Source organism: Homo sapiens, chromosome 16 (assembly GCF_000001405.40).
Source record: "Homo sapiens chromosome 16, GRCh38.p14 Primary Assembly".
NCBI classification, from domain to species: domain Eukaryota; kingdom Metazoa; phylum Chordata; class Mammalia; order Primates; family Hominidae; genus Homo; species Homo sapiens.
Genome location: NC_000016.10, coordinates 33333142 through 33355505, shown reverse-complemented (window position 1 = coordinate 33355505; position 22364 = coordinate 33333142). Strand labels below are relative to the sequence as shown.

General features: G+C 44.8%; 6 annotated features.

Moving 5' to 3' along the window:
• Positions 15206 to 15761: an enhancer, noted in NCBI's record as "H3K4me1 hESC enhancer chr16:33240986-33241541 (GRCh37/hg19 assembly coordinates)". NCBI's record gives its function as "activates a minimal SCP1, AML or CMV promoter by ChIP-STARR-seq in naive H9 embryonic stem cells {active_cell/tissue: H9 hESC(naive)}" and the evidence as "EXISTENCE:reporter gene assay evidence [ECO:0000049][PMID:30033119]".
• Positions 15762 to 16318: an enhancer, noted in NCBI's record as "OCT4-H3K4me1 hESC enhancer chr16:33240429-33240985 (GRCh37/hg19 assembly coordinates)". NCBI's record gives its function as "activates a minimal SCP1, AML or CMV promoter by ChIP-STARR-seq in naive and primed H9 embryonic stem cells {active_cell/tissue: H9 hESC(naive and primed)}" and the evidence as "EXISTENCE:reporter gene assay evidence [ECO:0000049][PMID:30033119]".
• Positions 16319 to 16874: an enhancer, noted in NCBI's record as "OCT4-H3K4me1 hESC enhancer chr16:33239873-33240428 (GRCh37/hg19 assembly coordinates)". NCBI's record gives its function as "activates a minimal SCP1, AML or CMV promoter by ChIP-STARR-seq in naive and primed H9 embryonic stem cells {active_cell/tissue: H9 hESC(naive and primed)}" and the evidence as "EXISTENCE:reporter gene assay evidence [ECO:0000049][PMID:30033119]".
• Positions 16875 to 17432: an enhancer, noted in NCBI's record as "H3K4me1 hESC enhancer chr16:33239315-33239872 (GRCh37/hg19 assembly coordinates)". NCBI's record gives its function as "activates a minimal SCP1, AML or CMV promoter by ChIP-STARR-seq in naive and primed H9 embryonic stem cells {active_cell/tissue: H9 hESC(naive and primed)}" and the evidence as "EXISTENCE:reporter gene assay evidence [ECO:0000049][PMID:30033119]".
• Positions 17433 to 17988: an enhancer, noted in NCBI's record as "H3K27ac-H3K4me1 hESC enhancer chr16:33238759-33239314 (GRCh37/hg19 assembly coordinates)". NCBI's record gives its function as "activates a minimal SCP1, AML or CMV promoter by ChIP-STARR-seq in naive H9 embryonic stem cells {active_cell/tissue: H9 hESC(naive)}" and the evidence as "EXISTENCE:reporter gene assay evidence [ECO:0000049][PMID:30033119]".
• Positions 17989 to 18546: an enhancer, noted in NCBI's record as "H3K27ac-H3K4me1 hESC enhancer chr16:33238201-33238758 (GRCh37/hg19 assembly coordinates)". NCBI's record gives its function as "activates a minimal SCP1, AML or CMV promoter by ChIP-STARR-seq in naive H9 embryonic stem cells {active_cell/tissue: H9 hESC(naive)}" and the evidence as "EXISTENCE:reporter gene assay evidence [ECO:0000049][PMID:30033119]".

The following is a 22364-nucleotide window of genomic DNA, read 5'->3' as shown; positions in this document are numbered from 1 at the left end:
ACAATTATTTTTAATTTTTAGATTTTACAATCTTTCTGGCCTCTTGGCTTTTGAGGCAAACTGAGCTTTGAAATTAGGCAATCCTCTATTGCACCAATGTGCAATAGAAGTAAAATGTGAGCCACATGTGACAATTAGAATTTGCTAGTAGCAGCATAAAGAAAAAGAAAAATGAGTGAAATTGATGTTAACAACATAGCTCAATATATCTGAAATATTTTAACATATAATCAGAATGAAATAATTAAAGAAACATATATATGTGTACATATATACGTACACACACATAGACATATGTTTCTTTAACCCAGCATTATATATTTTTATGCACATATGTATATGTAACTAAATATTTAAATATTTTCTTGTATTTCTCCCCAGCATATCTTAGTTCATGCTGGGCACAATACAGTTGTTCAGTAGCCCCTGTGCCCAGTGGCTGCCACATTGCAAGTGCATCTCTGAGGGCTCTGACTTTTCTGACCTTAGGGAGGTTAAAGGGCCTGAATCCTCCTTTTCTGCCAGATAGGAGTGAATGCCCCTTCTCTGCCAATATCACTCCTGTTTAAAGGATAAGAGAGGTGGTGCCCTGAGAGACAGTAGGGCCTACAAGAAACAAGTGTTCACAGGTAGAACACTGCTGTCCACTTTTGCTTGGTGTGGACTCATCAAACCTCCAGAGATCATACAGCAGTCCAAAAAGTGGGGCCCCAGAAGAGGGAAACCTCATGTTTTTAGATCTGTCCATAGGCTTGATCTGATGTGGAGAGACTAGATTAAAGGCAAACTTTTTATCTTGCAACTTGGCCTTGGCAAATTAAATAGAAATATGTCACTATAAAAATCAATTAAATAAAAAGGAAGGCAGTAAGAGCAGAAAAGAGGAGAAAATACCTACAAGAAACAAATAGAACTATTAACAAAATGGAAGTAGTCCATTCTTTTCACAATTAAAATGAATATATACATAGAGTAAAATTTCCAACAGAAATGTGTAAATTGGCTAAAGAGATTGAAAGAAAAAACGATTTGTTTTCTGCTGTCTATAAGAAACTCACTTTAGATCTAAGCACACAGATAGGCTAAAAGTGCAAGTATGAAAAATATCTTCTAGGAAGATTGCAATCAAATGAGAGCAAGAGGGGTCATAATTATGCAAAATACACATTAAGTCAAAACTGAATTAAAGGACAAATAAAGATAGTATATAATGATACAAGTGTTGATTCACTGGGGAAGCTGTGTTAATAATAAATATATGTACACTTCACATCGGGGTTTCCAAATGTATAAAGCTAAGATCGACCCAGATGAAGAAAGAAATAGCTATGCAAAAATAGTAAGAGACATAATTATCCGACTATCAGTAGCAAACTCTGTAAACCGAACAGACATATAGAAAACACTCATCACAGTGAATAGATTCAGGAAGCTGAAGGCCCATGGGACATGACCAACTCAGCATTCCACTGGAGGCTATATGATCAAACAGCAAACTCTTTATCATGAATGCAGGATGTGGGCAAACTCACACTGCCCTGCCACCAAAAGGTTTGCTGAGGGCCTCATTCCCTGGCACCAGGCTCCTTGAAGTTATCTACTGAGAAATCCAGTGCCTATTGTTCTAAGAATGCAGTCTCTCGAGTCAGCTGTGAATCAAGCTGCTGGTGGAAAACCACCCCCGCCTTCTCACTATCTCTTTTACCTAATAAATATGGAGGGCTGTGTAAAGCTCAGGTACCTTGTCCACTAGAGGCAAGGTGCCCCTGACCCCTTTTTCCAAATATACCCCTTTGTCTCTTGTCTTTTATTCCTGCATTCACCCTGCTTTGTTCAGTCCAATAGGTCTGTGTAGGCTACAAATAGAAGTGAAAAAAAAGAAAAAAAAAAACACTTCACACAACAATATCAGAATACACACTTTTTCCAATAGGTCATGAAACATTCTCCTGAGTAGATAACCTACTAGGACACAAAACAAGTTTTACCAAATTTTAAAATGTTAAAATATGGGCTAGGCATTGTGGCTCATTCTTATAATTCCAGCATTTTGGGAGGCTGAGGTGGGAGGATTAGTGAGTTTAGGAGTTCGGCGCCAGCCTGGGCAACATAAAGAGACCCTCTCTTTAGAAAATATAAAATTTAAAAATTAGCTGGGCATAATGGCACATGCCTGTGCGTCCAGCTACTCAGGAGGCTGACGGGGGAGGATTGCTTGAGCCTGGGAGATCGAGGCTCTGGTTAGCCATGATTGAGCCGCTGTGCTCCAGCCTGAGCAACAGAGCAAAACTCTGTTTCAAAAAAAAGATTAAAATATTACAATCATTTTTTATTACAAGGGAATAAAATTAGAAATCAATAGCAGAAGAAATATGGAAAATCTACAAATATGTGGAAATTAAACAACGCACTCTTCTGCATGCTCTCGTTCAAGGGTTGGAAGACAATATTGTGAAGATGTCCACACTACCCAAAATGATCTACAGATTCAATGAGATCTCTATCAAATTTTAACTGTCATTTCACTTGGCAGAAATACAAAAAACATTTCTAAAACTTATATGGAATCTAAAGTGACTCTCAGGAGCCAAACAACCTTCAAAAAAAGAAATAATATTGGAGGCATCACACTCCTTGACTTTATAATGTATTACAAAATTACAGTAACCAAACTATTTAGTACTGACATAAAGGCAGACACACAGACAAATGGAACAGAATAGAGCACAGAAATAAACTGTCATATATATGGCCAAATGAAGAGTTATTTGTATATCCATATTCATTGCACAACATTATTCACAACAGCTGATAGGTGGAAGCAACCCAAATGTCCCTCAATGAATCAGTGAATAAAGACAAATTGGAATATACAAATAATGGAATATTATCCAGTTTTTTAAAAGCAGGAGATCTGATTATTTTTACACTAAGGATAAATCTGGAGGACATTATGTAAATAAAATAAATGAGTCATAAAAGGACACTGTGTGATTCCAGTTAAATATCTAAAATAGTTAAACTCTTAGAAACAGAAAGTAGAATAGTATCAGTCAGAGCCTCAGGGGAGGAGATAAAAGGGTAGTTGTTGTTTCATGGCTATTGAATTTTAGTTTTGCAACATAAAAACATTCTAGAGATATGTTGCATAACAATGTGAATATATTTAATATTATTTAACTATGTACTTAAAATATTTAAGATGGTAAATTTTATGTGGTTTTGACTACATTAATAGTGAAAAACTTTCTAAAGAGATACATATTTATCAATCTTTTCAAAAATTACCTTCAAATCCTAAAAATATCAGAAAAACAATAAAGAGGCCAGGTGCAGTGGCTCATCCATGTAATTGAAACACATCAGGAGGCTGAGGAGGGAGAATAGCTTAAGCCCAAAAGTTGGAGACCAGCATGGGCAGCGTAAAAAGACCTCAGCTGCAAATCACAAGCAGAAGGAAACTGGCAAATGAAAAAATATGTGAAACTTAAAACAGAACACTCTTGACTTCTTGTTCAAGGGTCAGAAAATTTAATATTATTAAGATGTCAATACTACTCACAGTGAAGCACAAATTCAAAGTATTTTCTATCAAAATCCCAATGTTACATTTTTTTCAGAAATATTAAGTCTTAAAATTCATATGGAATCTCAAGGGACAATGAGTAGCCAAAGTAGCTGTGGAGAAGAACAAAGTTAGAGGTATCACACTTCCTGATTCCAAAATATATTATAAAGCTATAGCAATACAAACAGAAAGACAAATAGATGATGGAATAGAATAGAGAACCCAGAAATAAACCTTTATGAATATCATCAAATAATCTTCAATCAGGCTGCCATGACCGAACAACAGGGAAGAACAGAATAGTGTTCTAAAATTGAGTATCAAAATGGAAGAAAATAAAATTGGACTTTTCACTTGCACCATATAGAAAACTATCTTAAACACTTAAATGTAAGTAAGATCGCTATAAAAGTCTTAAAATATAAGGTAAAAATCATGACATTTGTCTTGATAATTTTTTTAACATGACATTAAAAGCAGAAGTAACAAGAAAAAAGCAGGAAAATGGGACTACCTCAAATGTAGTAAGCTTTCTGATAAAGAGAAAACAGCTGGGCCTGGGGGACCACTACCACCAAGACGCAGAGACCAGTAGTGGCCCCGAATGGCTGGGCACGCTGATATTTATTGCATACAAGACAAGGGGGCAGGGTAAGGAGGGTGAGTCGTCCAGGTGATTGATAAAGTCAAGCAAGTCATGTGATCATGGGACAGGAGGCCCTTCCCTTTTAGGCAGCCAAAGCAGAGAGGGAAGGCAGCATACATCAGTGTTTTCTTCTATGCATTTATAAGAAAGATCAAAGACTTTAAGACTTTCACTATTCCTTCTACCGCTATCTACTAAGAACTTCAAAGAGGAACCAGGAGAATGGGAGGAACGTGAAAGTGGACAAGGAGCGTGACCACTGAAACACAGCACCACAAGGAGGGGTTTATGCCTCCGGATGACTACGGGCAGGCCTGGATAATATCCAGCCTCCCACAAGAAGCTGGTGGAGCAGAGTGTTCCCTGACTTCTCCAAGGAAAGGAGACTCCCTTTCATGGTCTGCTAAGTAACAGGTGCCTTCCCAGGCACTGGCATTACCGCTCGACCAAGGAGCCCTCAAGCGGCCCTTATGTGAGTGTGACAGAGGGCTCACCTCTTGCCTTCTAGGTCACTTCTCACAATGTCCCTTCAGCACCTGACCCTATACCCACCAGTTATTCCTTGGTTATATGAGTAATACAACAAAGAGTAATATTAAAAGCTAGTGATTAATAATGTTTATACTAATGATGGATAATGTCCATGATCATCTCTATATCTAATTTGTGTTATAACTATTCTTTATTCTAACTGTTTTCTTTATTATACTGCAACAGTTTTTACCTTCAGTCTCTTGCCTCGGCACCTAGGTAATCCTTCACACCCACATGTTTCTACAAAGGAGATATACAAACGGCCAAGAGGAATTTTAAAAGATGCTGCAAATCATGAATCTTTAGAGAAATGAAAAGCAAAACCCCAGTGAGATATTACCTCACATTCATTAGGATGGCCACTATCAAATAAGAGAAAATAACAAGTGTTTTCAAGGATGTAGAGAAATTGGTATATTTGTGCACTGGGTGGTGGAAAAAATAATCATGCAGCCATTATGAAAAATAGTACAGAGTTTCCTCAGATTATTAAAATTGGAATTATGATGTGGTCTGGCAATACCATTTCTAGATATCTATCTAAATGTGCAAAGCGGGACCTGAAAGAAACATTTACATACCCACGTTTATGACAGAATTATTCTAAAAATCCAAAAGGTAGAAGCTACTTGAATGTCCCTTGACAGATAAATAAGTAAATATGATATATACATACAATGAAATATGATTTTAAAAGGAAATCTTATCACATGCTGCAATGACAATAAACCTTTAGGGCATGATGTTAAGTGAAATGTGCCAGGAAACAAAGTGACAGTGATTGTGTGATTCCACTTATGAGATATCTTAAGTAGTCCAACTCACAGAAATGGAAAGTAAAATGTTAAGGGCTCAGGAGAGGGTAAAATGGGCAGTTGACGTATATGGGTATTGAGTTTTAGTTTTGCAATGGAAAAGCTCTAGAAGCCTGTTGCATAACAATGTGGATATATGTACCACTAATAAATTATGCAATTACAAATGTATAGACTGGTAAATTTTGTTGTGTTTTATTACAGTTAAAATATTGTAAAGTGATACATAAAAGAGATACCGAGTTACAAACTTTTTGGAAAATTACCTTCAAATTATAAATGTGTTTTCCTCACACAAAGAAAATATAGATTTGTTCAATAAATACGTGGGTAAGTTAAGACTACTTATATGACTACTGTCCTGAACAAGATAAAACAACTTTTGACACCAGCCAAGAAGAGAAATATGCAAGATAATTAAGAAGAAATAGACTATATTTATAGAGGCAAACAAACACACGATTTTATTGGTGGTAGATATGGCTGATTCATATTTTGATTAAACATCACATTGACTTAACATGTATATAGAGTTGCAGATTTACATCCAAAATCATAATACGTAGGTAAAACCAAACTCACAAAACACGAATGTCAAGGAACTTACCAAAAAAAAAAAAAATAGTAATATGAAATTTCAAAAAAGAATGAGAGAAACAACGAAAAAACTCCTATATAAAACATAGATTTACAACTAAGAAAGAATCCTCCTAGATAACTACAATCTTCAGCTGTGACTGTGCATCCGTGGTGAGCAGGGATTTTGAATCAAGACTGCGTTAGGAAGAGGCTCAAGGGGGCAGACAGTGCCACCTCCAGAGAAGCCACTGCTCCTACTCCTGCCTCTCCTGCTACTGCCGCCACGGTCCTCTGCTCCTGCAGCCCCCACTGGGCGCCGGATTCCTTCTTGGAGTGCGGAGGTCCTGTTCCTTCAGGAACGACAGACAGCTTTTCTCCCCGTCTCCTCGTTTGCTCAGCCGGCAGGTGCAGGACTGGAGATCTGAGGTGGTCCTGCGTCTCGAGGAGCCGGGCGCCCGACTGTGAGAAGGAGGAGGCAAGCTATGGGGAGAGGGGGCGACAGGAATGCCAGGCTCATGAGGCCGGCGGCCGCGGCCCAGGCAGGGCTGGCTGCTGCCTGGGCCGGATGGTAAGAGATACTGTGGAAAGAAAATAAAATAAAATAAAATAAGTAATAATAAAGTTTAAAATAATAAACCTAACATAGGTAATAGTTAACATTCAGCATAGGTTACTTAGAAGTTATACATAGGCTAAGAAATTTCAGCAGTCCATTCCAGCATTGCTAACAAGTTGCAGCTGCGAGCTTATCTCAATCTTCCAAGCTTATTGCCTGCCTCCAGACCCCCGCATATTCCTGTAATTCGTGTTTTCCCTTACCCCAGCTCTGTTCAGCTTCAAAGTTGACTGGACAAAATAACTAAATTGTAAGTTCTCTCCGAATTGTCACGGGTTGGATAATTTACTGTCTTTGTCTGAAACCTGTAACCTGCCTTGTTTTCCCGCCTCAAACGGCACTTAAGCAAGCCTGCTTTCTTTGCAGGGGTCGGCAGCCATTTTGGGCATGAGCCTGCTGTTGGCTCAGGTGCCTGAATTAAATAAAGTTCTCTTTGGTCTCCAAAGGTCTCTTCGTGTTCCTTGGCTGGAGTTTTACTACAACAGTATCAGATGTCGCCACCATCCCCATCCTTGGCTCCCTAGCCGTCATTCATACATCCTGTGTTCAACAAACAGAAGTGGCAGCGGGAGCTGCTGCTCCGGGAGGGGGAGTGGCCTGGCAGGGGGCACACAGCTGCTACCTGCTGCGAGGCGAGTTGGTCTGCAGCCTGGGCCTTTGTGCAGGACACATCGCCGCCCTTGTCCCGCTTGCTCCCCCGCCTGCCACGCAACATGCTCAGGTGCCAGATCTCGGGCATTCCTGGCAAGCGTACTGTGGCGGGGAGGCAGCAGGGAGGAGGGGTTTGCCAGGAGCCCTGAACAGAGGTTCTTGGCATGGAGAAGAGACAGAGGTGGCTGACTGGTTCCAGTTTTAGGTGGGTGGGGGGAGGGGGTGGCAAACCCCATGGGACTTTGTTTTTTTCAAGGAGACTTCAGTTCACTTCTTATCTGTTCTCCACCCGCTTAAGCCTCTGAGAACAGAGGAGATGGGGCTCTTTTAAATTGGCCTGGCCGTAACGGTCTGGACCCTTGCCGCAGGGCAGATCTCATTTGGGGGCTCTTTGAAGCCTGGAGGCTCACGCCTGTCCATCCCAGGTGTCTTCAATATAGGGTCAAGTTAGGCCTGGCTGGCAATGATGCTGGAATGCAGGACGATCTGGCCAGATCTTCGCCTGTTACAGGATATTTTAGCCTTCAGCACCCTGCACCATTTCCCTCACCTGCAGAAGCCCCCGTGAGCCTCAGTGTTGCTAGGGCCCAGACCCTGGATGCCTCTCTATTAGAGTCCCACTTTACCCCACCTAAATGCACCAGGCCCTTACTCTGCCTTTCCCCTTTTCCCAGAACATGCCCCATTCAACTCCAACAGGACATGTCTGGACCACGTGCACCCCTCTTCAGTGTTAAAACAGAGAAAATAATGTATTTTTCACTGAACATGTAACTGATTTAACATATAAGGAGATCAGCTTTATGTGTAGATATGCATGTAAATATACACAAAATTTCTAACGTTGTGGGAAAATTAACATCTTTACACTTTGTTCAGTGATTTTATAGTTTTCTCTCTCTTACTCACTTGCTTCTTTTTTTTTTTTTTTTGAGACAGAGTCTTGCTCTGTTGCCCAAGCTGGAGTACAGTGGCAAAATATCAACACACTGCAGCCTCTGCCTCCTGGGTTCAGAAGATTCTCAGGCTTCAGCCACCCGAATATCTGGAATTACCAGCATGAGTAACCATGCCCAGCTGTTTTTTGTGTTTTTAGTGGAGACGGGGTTTTGACATGTTGCCCAGGCTGGTCTCGAACTCCTGGCCTCAACTGATTTGCCCACCTTGGTCTCACAAAATGCTGGGATTACTGGCGTGAGCCTCTATGCCTGGCCTACTTGTCACTATCTCTATGTTTATTTGTTCAATAGGAAAATTCTCAGTGAAGACTCCTCAGCATGATGAAGATAAGCTTGCACAATCAGTCATTGATAGATGCTTAGTGGAAAAACTTCCAATTCCCATTTGCAGCTCTCAGAGCTAGGATTAAAAACTCCTGGTCATAACCTCATGTGATGAGAAGTTATAGCATGCCCTCATTTTCTACATATCCACCTGCATTTACAATTAGCTTTCAAACTTGCTAGAAGGGAAAGAAGTGGGAATGTGTCCCCCTTAGAGCTACTTTCCTCCCCTTGCTGGGTTTCCAGTTTGTGCATTGTCCAGATGGCCCAGGAGCTTATGATCAAAGTGAAGAGGTCCTGTTTGTCATGAGAATGCTGCTTTGCTGCATCAGGATTCAGTGAAACTGTTCACCGCCTGGAGCCCATGTGGACTCCAGAGGCAGGATGAAGCTCAGAAACCGTCACTGAGGTTAGGAAGTGAGCACCAAAGTTGAGGGCTGCCCACAGGAGAGGGCCAAAATGCTCCCTTTGGATTTCCAAGTGGTTGCTTCTTGCATCAGTCTTGCTTCTGACCACACTGTGTTCCTGGTCCCGTCTTCCTGGCATTTTGCTGTTTGTGTCCAAGGGAAAGAGTCCTGGATGGCAGTGCTGAGAAGGATGCCTGCCTGCTAAAGCTGATCCCCTGGTGAGCTCTGCAGCCTGTTAAGCAGAGCCTGAAATTCTTTCTCACTGAGTGGTGATTCAGACCACGGAGGGCCCTCCTCTTGTGGATCTGCATTCCGAAAAGATTGTGCCTTTTCCTGAAACTCTGGGACTTGTAGAAGATCATGCAGATGACTGGTGTGGTTGCTCCAGCAGATAGATGGCTCTTTCATGGCTTGTGCCTGTTTCTGCCACAGGTAGACCTATGTGCATGGGCTACTAAGGTGCTCCTGCTCCAGGTTGCCATTGAATCATGGCATCCTGGGACCCGTTGCCTAAGCTCCACCACTTCTGAAGGTGGGATGTGTCCTGTTGACCCAGACTCTAAAATTGTGGCTAAGGATGACCAGGCTGTGGCTGTCCCTTTAAGGCAGAACTTCCAGGCCAGTGTCTTATTTTTCTTGTCATCCTAAAGTTTTCCTTTCGACTGAGGCCAGAAACAAGTCTGTGTATGGGAGAGCCTCCCTCCTAGAGTTGGTACCATTGACATATGACTCCTAAGTGCCAGAAGAGGTTGAGAGAACTCTCCCATCTGCACAGCCAGGGTGCTATGTGCATCGTGACCCTTGGTGCCTGGCTCACACAGCCTGCAGAGGGATCCAAAAAATCACAGGTTGTGGGAGGTGAAGGAAGAGCTGGTACAAATGACAGGTGGCTGCTGACAGAATAGGAGGCAGGAAGAAGATGAGACCTGCCTGGGGTAGTGCACATGTTTTGTTCCAGCCAAACAGTCAGATGAGGTCTTGGTCTTGGACCCGCTGCCAGGGAATTCACAAGCCCGCTTCTGCTGTGGCCTGGGAGCTGAGGTCTTTGGTTCTGAAACCAAATGTAAATTTTGGACTCTGAAATGCCTGTCTGTTTAGCCAGTTTCTCTATAATGGTGATTCCAGGAAAGGAATTCTCTTGGAAAATGTTGAGGGTCCTTCTCAAAGGCTTTAATGAGTACACTGGTGTGTGATTGAGTGATGGATGTCCTTTCCTCCTGCCTTCTTATTTGACTTGCACAATAAATATTAACTATGGCAGTTACGGTCATATCTTTCTTTACAACATAAGAAACTTCAAGTCATTCATTGATGACACCAAAGCCTCATTCTCCTACATTAAACATTCTCCTACATTAAACTTCTTGAATCTTCTGTGCCAACTGTCTAGAAAACCTAAACACATGAAATACTACAAATTAGAAATAAATACCTCAATAGGCACCAATTATAAAAGCAAATCCAAGAAGGAACAGAATATATGAATACACATATAACAAGTAAAGAGATTCAATTAATTAAAAATCTTCACAAAAAGAGAAGCCCAGAGCCACATGGCTTAACTGGTAAATTCTACTAAACATTTAATGAAGAATTAATGCCAACTCTTTACAAGACCTTCCAGAAAATATGGGACAGTTATTGGGAACACTTCCCAATTTGTTCTGTGAGGCCAGTATTACCCTGATACTAAAGGCAGACAAAAGCATCAGAAGTAAATATGTGTATGGATGAATTTCCCTGATGAATACACACAGAGAAATTCTCAAAAAAGCGAAATGAATCAAGAATATATCAAAATGAATGTACACCATGACCAAATGGAATTATTTTACAGATGCAATATTGATCTATCCGATAATCAATCAGTGCCTTACACAAAGTAATAGGATAAAGGAAATTAACAGAAAGAGCCTTTCAACAGACACAGGGAGCATTTGACCAATCCAATATTCATTCACAATCTCCCTGGAAAGGAAGGGTACAAGCAAACTTCCTAAATCTGCTAAAGAGCATCAGTGAAAAACTTACACCTAACGCCATAATAGTAAAATACTGGTTGTTGTGTCTTGACATTTTAGAACAAGGCAAAAATGTTAACATCCAAAGAAATTACATGAGAGAAAAAAACAAAATCATCAATGTGGGAAAATAAGATGTTAGAATTGTCTATCATTGCAGAGGACATAAGTGAATATAAAAGTTTATAAAAAACTCATTAAAACCCACTAAAACCAATACATGAGTTCAGCAAGGTCACAAGATACAAAATCAATATGCAAAGTTCAATTGTACTTTTATGTACTAACAATGATCAACCTGAAAATAAAATTAAAAAAACAATCCATTTGTGTATGTATGAAAAAGAAAGAAATATTTAGGAGTAGATTTAATGAAGTGCAATTTTACCGTAAAAAGAAATCTTTGTTAAAAAATTTTAAAACACTGAAAAAAATAGGCATCAATGTTTATTTAGTTAATGTTATTCCATTATCCAGTGTATCCATTTAAACTCCACACAATAAAACAAAATATATTTTAGCATTATTTTAGTGTAATAAATACAGGTTTGTAGAAAACCCATGAAAGGAACTAATTCTACATGTCCAGAATAGCCCATCCTAATTTTTCTATTTTACATCTACTGTAAATCAAACCGATTTTGTTCCATATTTTATAGCGGAACGTAAGATAAAATCCAAATTGTTAAATATGTGAGATTGATTATAAGCCCACCAAGGAGGTTTTTACTCAGTGTGGGAATTCAGAGAGCATGAAGTTGCAAAGACAGAAGCAAATGTTTTTGAATGAATTATGAGGGACAATACTCACAGGAGTGCTTCACACTTTTATCAACTGACTCATGTCATCTCACTTTAGGAGAAACTGCCTCTAATTTTAGATATTGGTTCGTAGCAAATGCTAAATGAACCAGCACCAAGTTTATATCCAGGAGAACTGCTTACTCTAGAGGATTTTGTCTCTTGGATAATGACATGATTCTGTCTTTCATAGGCTACTCCAAAACTTCTATAATGATGGTAGAGTTTAGTGAAGTGGAGCATCGGCATGCCATCCCCATGCTCCTGACAAGCAGCAGCAGCTAACCTAAGCACAGTCACATAGGGCATGCCATTGACACCCACCTTGCTGTTGTTCACCTCCACATACTAAGTTGCCATACACTTTGCAGTGGAATTTCACCTTACTGCATCTGGTTGGTCAGCAGTCCTGCAGGTAGAAAGAGTTGGTCAGGAGGGCACATTGAGAGAATAGATGGGAGCTCAGAGGCTGCCTAGCTCCCTGCACCCTGCCCACAGGCCACAGTCCTCACCCAGCTGTCCAGCATGCATGACTGCTGAAGGCTGCTGCACTTGTTCTTCATCACAGAGGTGGGATGAAAGCAGTCTGAGGGCACCACACTCCATGATCAGGGTCTACTTCTGGTGCCATAGCTCCAGGTGGAAGGACAGGTAAGCAAAAGACAGGTCCCACCTTCCACATCCAGCCCACACTCCCACCAACTTCCAGGCCCACCTCAATATCCTGATGTGATGCTCTCCTTAGACCTCTTGTGGTTCTTCAGCCAGGAGATGGAGAGAGTGGGGTTGCTAGGAGCCAGGCAGTGAAAGTTGGTTGTGGTGGCCAGCATGGCTGGCAGTTTCCTGTCCATCCACTGGGGCAAAGTCCAGGAAGGGGTCTCTGCTGGTGGAAGCACACATGAAGGCCATAGCTGAGGCGAGGAACAGAGACCCATCTGACCAGACCCCCGATTCAAGATCACCCTGCCCACTCCGAGTCTCATGTTTTTCTCCTGTGTAGGGAGAGTGTTGACATGTCAAGGACATCTACTTGGGCTGAATGAGGCTCCCAGGAGCTTCAACACAATGTCCCCACCCAGTCATGCTCAGAGCTGGCAATGTGTGCCTTTCTATTCCCTCTGCTTCCCCCAAGTGGCTGCTCCTGCTGAGAGGCTGGGGTTCTTCATCCTGGCCTGAAAGCCTCAAAGAATAATGGAGTCTCGAGGGGATACCCCACCTGCACAGGGAGGCACATGGGGAGGGCCCACCAGGAAGGAGGCCCAGCAGGTAGCCCAGCTAAGTGAGTGAGTCAGGACAGGCATTGGGAGCAGTTTACCAGGAGAAGAAACCCAGCCCCTTGCAGAGCTGGGAGCCTCAGAAGCAGCTGAGAAGCCTTGGTCCACAAGCCTCTGAGCCCATAAGCCACCCCCTGCAGAGCTTCAGGGCCCGGTGGGCACTGGTGAGGATGGCGGCCTGGAGGCTTCGTCTCTTTTTTATCCTGACTTCCAGGGCTGTCACCATTCCCCCTCTCACACCTCAGCTAGTTTTTCTAATTTCTGGGTGCTGGGGTGGGGCTGCCTTCCTGCCTGGACTTGTGGGTAGGCTCAACTGCCTTACCCCCAGGAGAGAGGCACCAGGGGCCCAGGAAAGAGAAAGGAGGCAGCCGCTTCCCCACAGTGACCTCCTTGCCATTCACATGCAGCGGCAGGCCCACCTTTCGGTGGAGGATGCTGAAGCACAGCCGGGAGCTGTGTAGAGAGACGCTGGGAAGAGGCACCAATCACAACTCTGAGCTGTCCTCTGGGATTCCAGGGGTGGGAGATGGGGACCCACTGGTGATTAAGACAGCTCAGCAAACTGTGGCACAGGATGTTCCCAGGACTGGGAGACAACAGTGACTCAATGCTGCTCACTTCTAGACTGTGCCTTCTTAAAGTGGCTCTTCAGTTACCCCCAGAGCTTGAGCCCACACCATCCTGGGATGGCTGGGTAGGCAGAGGTGAGCAGGGGCTCAGGGGGAGTGCACAAGGGTGTGTGGGCAGGGGCAGAGGCTGCTGAGGCAGGTGAGGGGAAATTTTCATCCTTTCCTGTCTGCTCCTCCCGGGGTCTACTTTCCTCTCTTCCCTCTGCCTCTGGCTCCCTGGCTGGCTCCTCCTCACTTTCTTTCCTGCTCACTCCAGAGGTCTCAGGGGCTCAGCCCACCACCAGTGGTCCCCAAGTTGCAGCTGCCTCTCCCATGCCTATCCCATGAGGACCCTCATCTGCCTGAGCACATCTCTGGGCTCCTCTGAAACCAGAAGCCCCATCTTCCTGACAGACCCCTCCACAACTGGGCAGAGTTCACCTGCCACTGTTCCAGGCCAGAATGACGGAATTGTTCCGCTGCTGCTGTTTCACACCCACAGCCAATCCCCCACAAATGCTGTTGGCATCACTTTTACAACCCTCATGGCCACCCTGCCCTCCTGCTGGGCTGTAGCTTTTGTCCCCTCCATCCATCTGCCCCTTGGCAGCCACCTGAGCCCCCAAGCACTGCTGTGCTCACACCTACAGTAGCCACCTCACCCAGAGCCAACATCAAAGTCCCCACAGGCCAATCCTGGCCTCCTCACTGCTCCTGGAACCCCAGGACCCTGTGCCCCAGTCTCCCCATCTGCAGCATGTGTGTCTCCTCTGACCCCCAGCCTGCCCCACAGAGCCCAAGACATCCAGAGCCATCTAATAGATATGTAATACATATCAATTACATAATAATTCATGATACATCATATTATATACAAAGTACGATGTCATAATGTACTGTGATGCCATAATACATATGAAGTATAATGTCATAATATATTGTGATGTCATAACACATACTGATGATGGTGTCACAATATACTGTGACGTGATAATGTCTATGAATTTTGATGTCATAATACATGTGCATTATGATGTCATGATATATTGTGATGTTGTAGTATAAATTATGATGCCATAATATATTATGATGTCATGTTGTGTGTGCATTATGATGTCATAATATATTGTGATGTCATAATACATATGAATTATGATATCATAATATGTTGTAATGTCATAATATATTTATTTATCACATTAATGGTATAATAACATAAACTTTGTCAGGTAATTTTACAAGAAAATTCAGTGAAATTTTGTAACAATATTAACATCTAAAGTAGCTTATAATCATGATGAAAAATGAAAGAGCTGCAGGAATCTCACATGGTAGGAGTTGAAACAGGAAAGATCAGGGAGGGGTATGCTTCACTTTTAAACCACCACATCTCGTGAGTACTCACTATGACAAGGACAGCACAGAGCCATGAGAAATCTATCCCCATGATTCAACCATCTACCACCATGCCCCACCTGTAACATTAGGGATTAAAATTCAATATGAGATTTGGAGGAGACATCTAAACTATATTATATGACCATTAGTGTGGGCGAAAGGTCACCAAGGTGCCAAGGCAAGAGACTGAAACAAACTGTTTCAGTATAATAAAGAAAATTGTTAGAATAGAATAGTCATAATACAAATTAGATATAGAGATGATCATGGGCAAGCCTGCCAGCCAACCAAGCCAGCCAAGCCAGCAAAGCCACCCAGCCAAAGCCAGCCAGCCAGCCATGCCAGCCAGCCAGCAAGGCCAGCCAAGCCACCCAGCCAGCAAGGCCAGCCAAGCCCGCCAAGCCACCCAGCCAGCCAAGGCAGCCAAGCCTCCCAGCCAAAGCCAGCCAGCCTAGCCAGCCAGCGAGCCAAGCCAGCCAAGCCAGCCAAGCCACCCAGCCAGCCAAGCCAGTGAAGCCAGCCAGCCAACCTAGCCAGCCAAGCCATCCAGCCAGCCAAGCCAGCCAAGCCAGCCAGCCAGCCAAGCCACACAGTCAGCCAGCCAGCCAAGCCAGCCAAGCCAGCACAGCCGGCCAAGCCAGCCAAGCCATCCAAGCCAGCCAAGCCACCCAGCCAGCCAAGCCAGCCAAGCCACCCAGCCAAAGCCAGCCATCCAGCCAAGCCAGCCAACCAGCCAAGCCAGCCAATCCAGCCAGGCAGCCAGCCAAGCCAGCCAAGCCAGCCAAGCCACCCAGTCAAGCCACCCAGCCAAAGCCAGCCAGCCAGCCAAGCCAGCCAAGTGACCCAGCCAACCAAGCCACCCAGCCAAGCCAGCCAGCCAGCCAAGCCAGCCAAGCCAGCCAAGCCACATAGCCAGCCAAGCCAGCCAAGCCACATAGCCAGCCAAGCCAGCCAAGCCAGCCATCCAGCCAAGCCTGCCAATCCAGCCAGACAGCCAGCCAAGCCAGCCAAGCCAGCCAGCCAGCCAGCCAAGCCAGCCAAGCCAGCCATCCAGCCAAGCCTGCCAATCCAGCCAGACAGCCAGCCAAGCCAGCCAAGCCAGCCAGCCAGCCAGCCAAGCCAGCAAAGCCAGCCAAGCCAGCCAAGCCATCCATCCAGCCAAGCCAGCCAAGCCACCCAGCCGGCCAAGCCATCCAAGCCAGCCAACCAACCCAGCCAGGCAAGCCAGCCAAGCCACCCAGTCAAAGCCAGCCAGCCAGCCAAGCCAGCCAAGCCAGCCAGCCAGCCAAGCCAGCCAAGCGGCCCAGCCAGCCAAGCCAGCCAGCCAGCCAGCCAAGCCAGCCAAGCCATCCATCCAGCCAAGCCAGCAAAGACAGCCAAGCTACCCAGCCGGCCAAGCCATCTAAGCCAGCCAACCAACCCAGCCAGGCAAGCCAGCCAAGCCACCCAGTCAAAGCCAGCCAGCCAGCCAGCCGGCCAAGCCACCCAAGCCAGCCAGCCAGCCAGACAAGCCAGCCAGCCAGCCAAGCCAGCCAAGACAGCCAAGCCACAGAGCCAGCCAAGCCAGCCAGCCAGGCAGCCAAGCCAGCCAGCCAAGCCAGCCAAGCCACCCAGCCAGCCAAGCCAGCCAAGCCACCCAGCCAAAGCCAGCCATCCAGCCAAGCCAGCCAACCAGCCAAGCCAGCCAATCCAGCCAGGCAGCCAGCCAAGCCAGCCAAGCCAGCCAAGCCACCCAGCCAAGCCACCCAGCCAAAGCCAGCCAGCCAGCCAAGCCAGCCAAGTGACCCAGCCAACCAAGCCACCCAGCCAAGCCAGCCAGCCAGCCAAGCCAGCCAAGCCAGCCAAGCCACATAGCCAGCCAAGCCAGCCAAGCCACATAGCCAGCCAAGCCAGCCAAGCCAGCCATCCAGCCAAGCCTGTCAATCCAGCCAGACAGCCAGCCAAGCCAGGCAAGCCAGCCAGCCAGCCAGCCAAGCCAGCCAAGCCAGCCAAGCCATCCATCCAGCCAAGCCAGCCAAGCCACCCAGCCGGCCAAGCCATCCAAGCCAGCCAACCAACCCAGCCAGGCAAGCCAGCCAAGCCACCCAGTCAAAGCCAGCCAGCCAGCCAAGCCAGCCAAGCCAGCCAGCCAGCCAAGCCAGCCAAGCGGCCCAGCCAGCCAAGCCACCCAGCCAAGCCAGCCAGCCAGCCAAGCCACCCAAGCCAGCCAGCCAGCCAGACAAGCCAGCCAGCCAGCCAAGCCAGCCAAGACAGCCAAGCCACACAGCCAGCCAAGCCGGCCAGCCAGGCAGCCAAGACAGCCATCCAAGCCAGCCAAGCCAGCACAGCCGGCCAAGCCAGCCAAGCCATCCAAGCCAGCCAAGCCACCCAGCCAGCCAAGCCAGCCAAGCCAGCCAGCCAAAGCCGGCCAGCCAGCCAAGCCAGCCAAGTGACCCAGCCAGCCAAGCCACCCAGCCAAGCCAGCCAGCCAGCCAAGCCAGCCAAGCCAGCCAAGCCAGCCAAGCCACAGAGCCAGCCAAGCCAGCCAAGCCACATAGCCAGCCAAGCCAGCCAAGCCAGCCATCCAGCCAAGCCTGCCAATCCAGCCAGACAGCCAGCCAAGCCAGCCAAGCCAGCCAGCCAGCCAGCCAAGCCAGCCAAGCCATCCATCCAGCCAAGCCAGCAAAGACAGCCAAGCTACCCAGCCGGCCAAGCCATCCAAGCCAGCCAACCAACCCAGCCAGGCAAGCCAGCCAAGCCACCCAGTCAAAGCCAGCCAGCCAGCCAGCGAGCCAAGCCACCCAAGCCAGCCAGCCAGCCAGACAAGCCAGCCAGCCAGCCAAGCCAGCCAAGACAGCCAAGCCACAGAGCCAGCCAAGCCAGCCAGCCAGGCAGCCAAGCCAGCCAGCCAAGCCAGCCAAGCCACCCAGCCAGCCAAGCCAGCCAAGCCACATAGCCAGCCAAGCCAGCCAAGCCACATAGCCAGCCAAGCCAGCCAAGCCAGCCATCCAGCCAAGCCTGCCAATCCAGCCAGACAGCCAGCCAAGCCAGCCAAGCCAGCCAGCCAGCCAGCCAAGCCAGCAAAGCCAGCCAAGCCAGCCAAGCCATCCATCCAGCCAAGCCAGCCAAGCCACCCAGCCGGCCAAGCCATCCAAGCCAGCCAACCAACCCAGCCAGGCAAGCCAGCCAAGCCACCCAGTCAAAGCCAGCCAGCCAGCCAAGCCAGCCAAGCCAGCCAGCCAGCCAAGCCAGCCAAGCGGCCCAGCCAGCCAAGCCACCCAGCCAAGCCAGCCAGCCAGGCAAGCCACCCAAGCCAGCCAGCCAGCCAGACAAGCCAGCCGGCCAGCCAAGCCAGCCAAGACAGCCAAGCCACACAGCCAGCCAAGCCGGCCAGCCAGGCAGCCAAGACAGCCATCCAAGCCAGCCAAGCCACCCAGCCAGCCAAGCCAACCAAGCCAGCCAAGCCACCCAGCCAGCCAAGCCAGTGAAGCCAGCCAGCCAGCCAAGCCAGCCAAGCCATCCAGCCAGCCAAGCCAGCCAAGCCAGCCAGCCAGCCAAGCCACCCAGTCAGCCAGCCAGCCAAGCCAGCCAAGCCAGCACAGCCGGCCAAGCCAGCCAAGCCATCCAAGCCAGCCAAGCCACCCAGCCAGCCAAGCCAGCCAAGCCAGCCAGCCAGCCAGCCAAGCCAGCCAAGCCATCCATCCAGCCAAGCCAGCCAAGCCAGCCAGCCGGCCAAGCCATCCAAGCCAGCCAACCAACCCAGCCAGGCAAGCCAGCCAAGCCACCCAGTCAAAGCCAGCCAGCCAGCCAAGCCAGCCAAGCCAGCCAGCCAGCCAGCCAGCCAAGCCACCCAAGCCAGCCAGCCAGCCAGACAAGCCAGCCAGCCAGCCAAGCCAGCCAAGACAGCCAAGCCACACAGCCAGCCAAGCCAGCCAGCCAGGCAGCCAAGCCAGCCAGCCAAGCCAGCCAAGCCACCCAGCCAGCCAAGCCAGCCAAGCCACCCAGCCACAGCCAGCCATCCAGCCAAGCCAGCCAACCAGCCAAGCCAGCCAAGCCAGCCAGGCAGCCAGCCAAGCCAGCCAGCCAGCCAAGCCAGCCAAGCCACACAGCCAACCAAGCCAGCCAAGCCAGCCAGCCAGCCAGCCAGCCAAGCCAGCCAAGCCACACAGCCAACCAAGCCAGCCAAGCCAGCCAGCCAGCCAAGCCTGCCAGCCAACCAAGCCAGCCAAGCCACCCAGCCAAAGCCAGCCAGCCAGCCAAGCCAGCCAAGCCACACAGCCAACCAAGCCAGCCAAGCCAGCCAGCCAGCCAAGCCTGCCAGCCAACCAAGCCAGCCAAGCCAGCCAAGCCACCCAGCCAAAACCAGCCAGCCAGCCATGCCAGCCAGCCAGCCAGGCCATAATTTCATCATTCCACTTCATCATTCCACTTCATCATTTCATTTCATTTCATTTCATCATTTCATTTCATTTCATCCTTTCATTTCATCTCATCATTTCATCCTTTCATTTCATCATTTCATCTCATCATTTCATCTCATCATTTCACTTCATCTCATCATTTCATCATTTTATCTCATGATTTCATTTCATCTCATGATTTCATTTCATCTCATCATTTCATCTTTTCATCTCATCATTTCATTTAATCATTTTATTTCATTTTATCTTTTCATCTCATCATTTCATCATTTCATTTCATCGATTCATCATTTCATCATTTCATTTCATTATTTCATCATTTCATCATTTCACTTCATCTCATCATTTCATCATTTTATATCATTTCATTTCATCATTTCATCTTTTCATCATTTCATTTCATTTCATGATTTCACTTCATTTCTTCATTTCATTTCCTCATTTCATTGCACCATTTCATCACTTCATCATTTCATCATTTCATTTCATCATTCCATTTCATCATTTCATCATTTCATTTCATCTCATCATTTCATCATTTCATTTCCTCATTTCACCATTACATTTCATCTCATCATTTTATTTTATCATTTCATTTCATCATTTCATTTATTCATTTCTTCATTTCGTTTCATCATTTCATCATTTCCTTTCATTTCATCATTTCATCTCATCATTTCATCTCATCATTTCATCTCATCATTTCATCTCATCATTTCATCTCATTTCATTTCATTCATTTCATCATTTCATCTCATGATTTCATTTCATCTCATCATTTCACTTCATCTCATCATTACACCATTTCATCTCATGATTTCATCTAGTCATTTCATTTCATCTCATCATTTCATTTCATCTTTTCATCTCTTCATTTCATTTCACCGTTTCATCTTTTCATCTCGTCATTTCACTTCATTTCATCATTTCATCAATTCATCATTTCATCATTTCATTTCATTATTTCATCATTTCATCATTTCACTTCATTTCATCATTTCATATAATTTCATCATTTCATTTTATCATTTCTTTTAATTTCATTTCATCATTTCACTTTATTTCATCATTTCATATCATTTCATTTCATCATTTCATCTTTTCATGTCATTTCATCATTTCATCATTTCATTTCATTCATTTCATCATTGCATTTCATCATTTCATCATTTCATCTCATGATTTCATTTCATCTCATCATTTCACTTCATCTCATCATTTCATCTCATGATTTCATCTCATCATTTCATTACATCCCATCATTTCATGTTTTCATCTCGTCATTTCATCATTTCATTTCATTTTGTCTTTTCATCTCGTCATTTCATTTCATCATCATTTCAGTTCATTTATTTCATCATTTCATTTCATCATTTAATTTCATCATTTCACTTCATTTCATCATTTCATTTCATTTCATATCATTTCATCATTTCCTCTTTTAATTTCATTTCATAATTTCATCATTCCACTTCATCATTTCGTTTCATCATTTCATTTCCTCATTTCATCATTTCATTTCATCCTTTCATTTCATCTCATCATTTCATCCTTTCATTTCATTCTTTCATTTCATTATTTCATCTCATCATTTCATCTCATCATTTCATCATTTCACTTCATCTCATCATTTCATCATTTTATCTCATGATTTCATCTCATCATTTCATTTCATATCATTTCATTTCATCTTTTCATCTCGTCATTTCACTTAATCATTTTATTTCATTTTATCTTTTCATCTCATCATTTCATTTCATCATTTCATCATTTCATTTCACTTCATTTCATTTCATCATTTCGTATCATTTCTTCATTTCATCTTTTCATTTCATTTCATCATTTCATCATTTCATTTCATTTCATCATTTCACTTCATCATTTCATTTCTTCATTTCATTTCCTCATTTCATTGCACCATTTCATCACTTCATCATTTCATCATTTCATCATTCCATTTCATCATTTCATCATTTCATTTCATTTCATCTCATCATTTCATTTCATTTCCTCATTTCACCATTACATTTCATCTCATTTCATCATTTTATCATTTCCTTTCATCATTTCATTTCTTCATTTCATTTTGTTTCATCATTTCATCATTTCCTTTCATTTCATCATTTCATCTCATCATTTCATCTCATCATTTCATCTCATTTCATTTCATTCATTTCATCATTTCATCATTTCATCTCATGATTTCATTTCATCTCATCATTTCACTTCATCTCATCATTACACCATTTCATCTCATGATTTCATCTAGTCATTTCATTTCATCTCATCATTTCATCTTTTCATCTCGTCATTTCATTTCATCATTTCATTTCATCTTTTCATCTCGTCATTTCATTTCATTTCATTTTATCAATTCATCAATTTATCATTTCATTTCATTTCATTATTTCATCATTTCATCATTTCATCATTTCACTTCATCATTTCATTATTTCATATAATTTCATCATTTCATTTTATCATTTCTTTTAATTTCATTTCATCATTTCATCATTTCACTTTATTTCATCATTTCATATCATTTCATCATTTCATTTCATCATTTCATCTTTTCATTTAGTTTCATTATTTCATCATTTCACTTCATCATTTCATTTCATTTCCTCATTTCATCATTTCATTTCATTTCCTTTCATCATTTCATCTCATCATTTCATCCTTTCATTATTTCATTTCATCATTTCATGTCATCATTTCACTTCATCATTTCATCATTTCATTTCATCATTTCACTTCATCTCC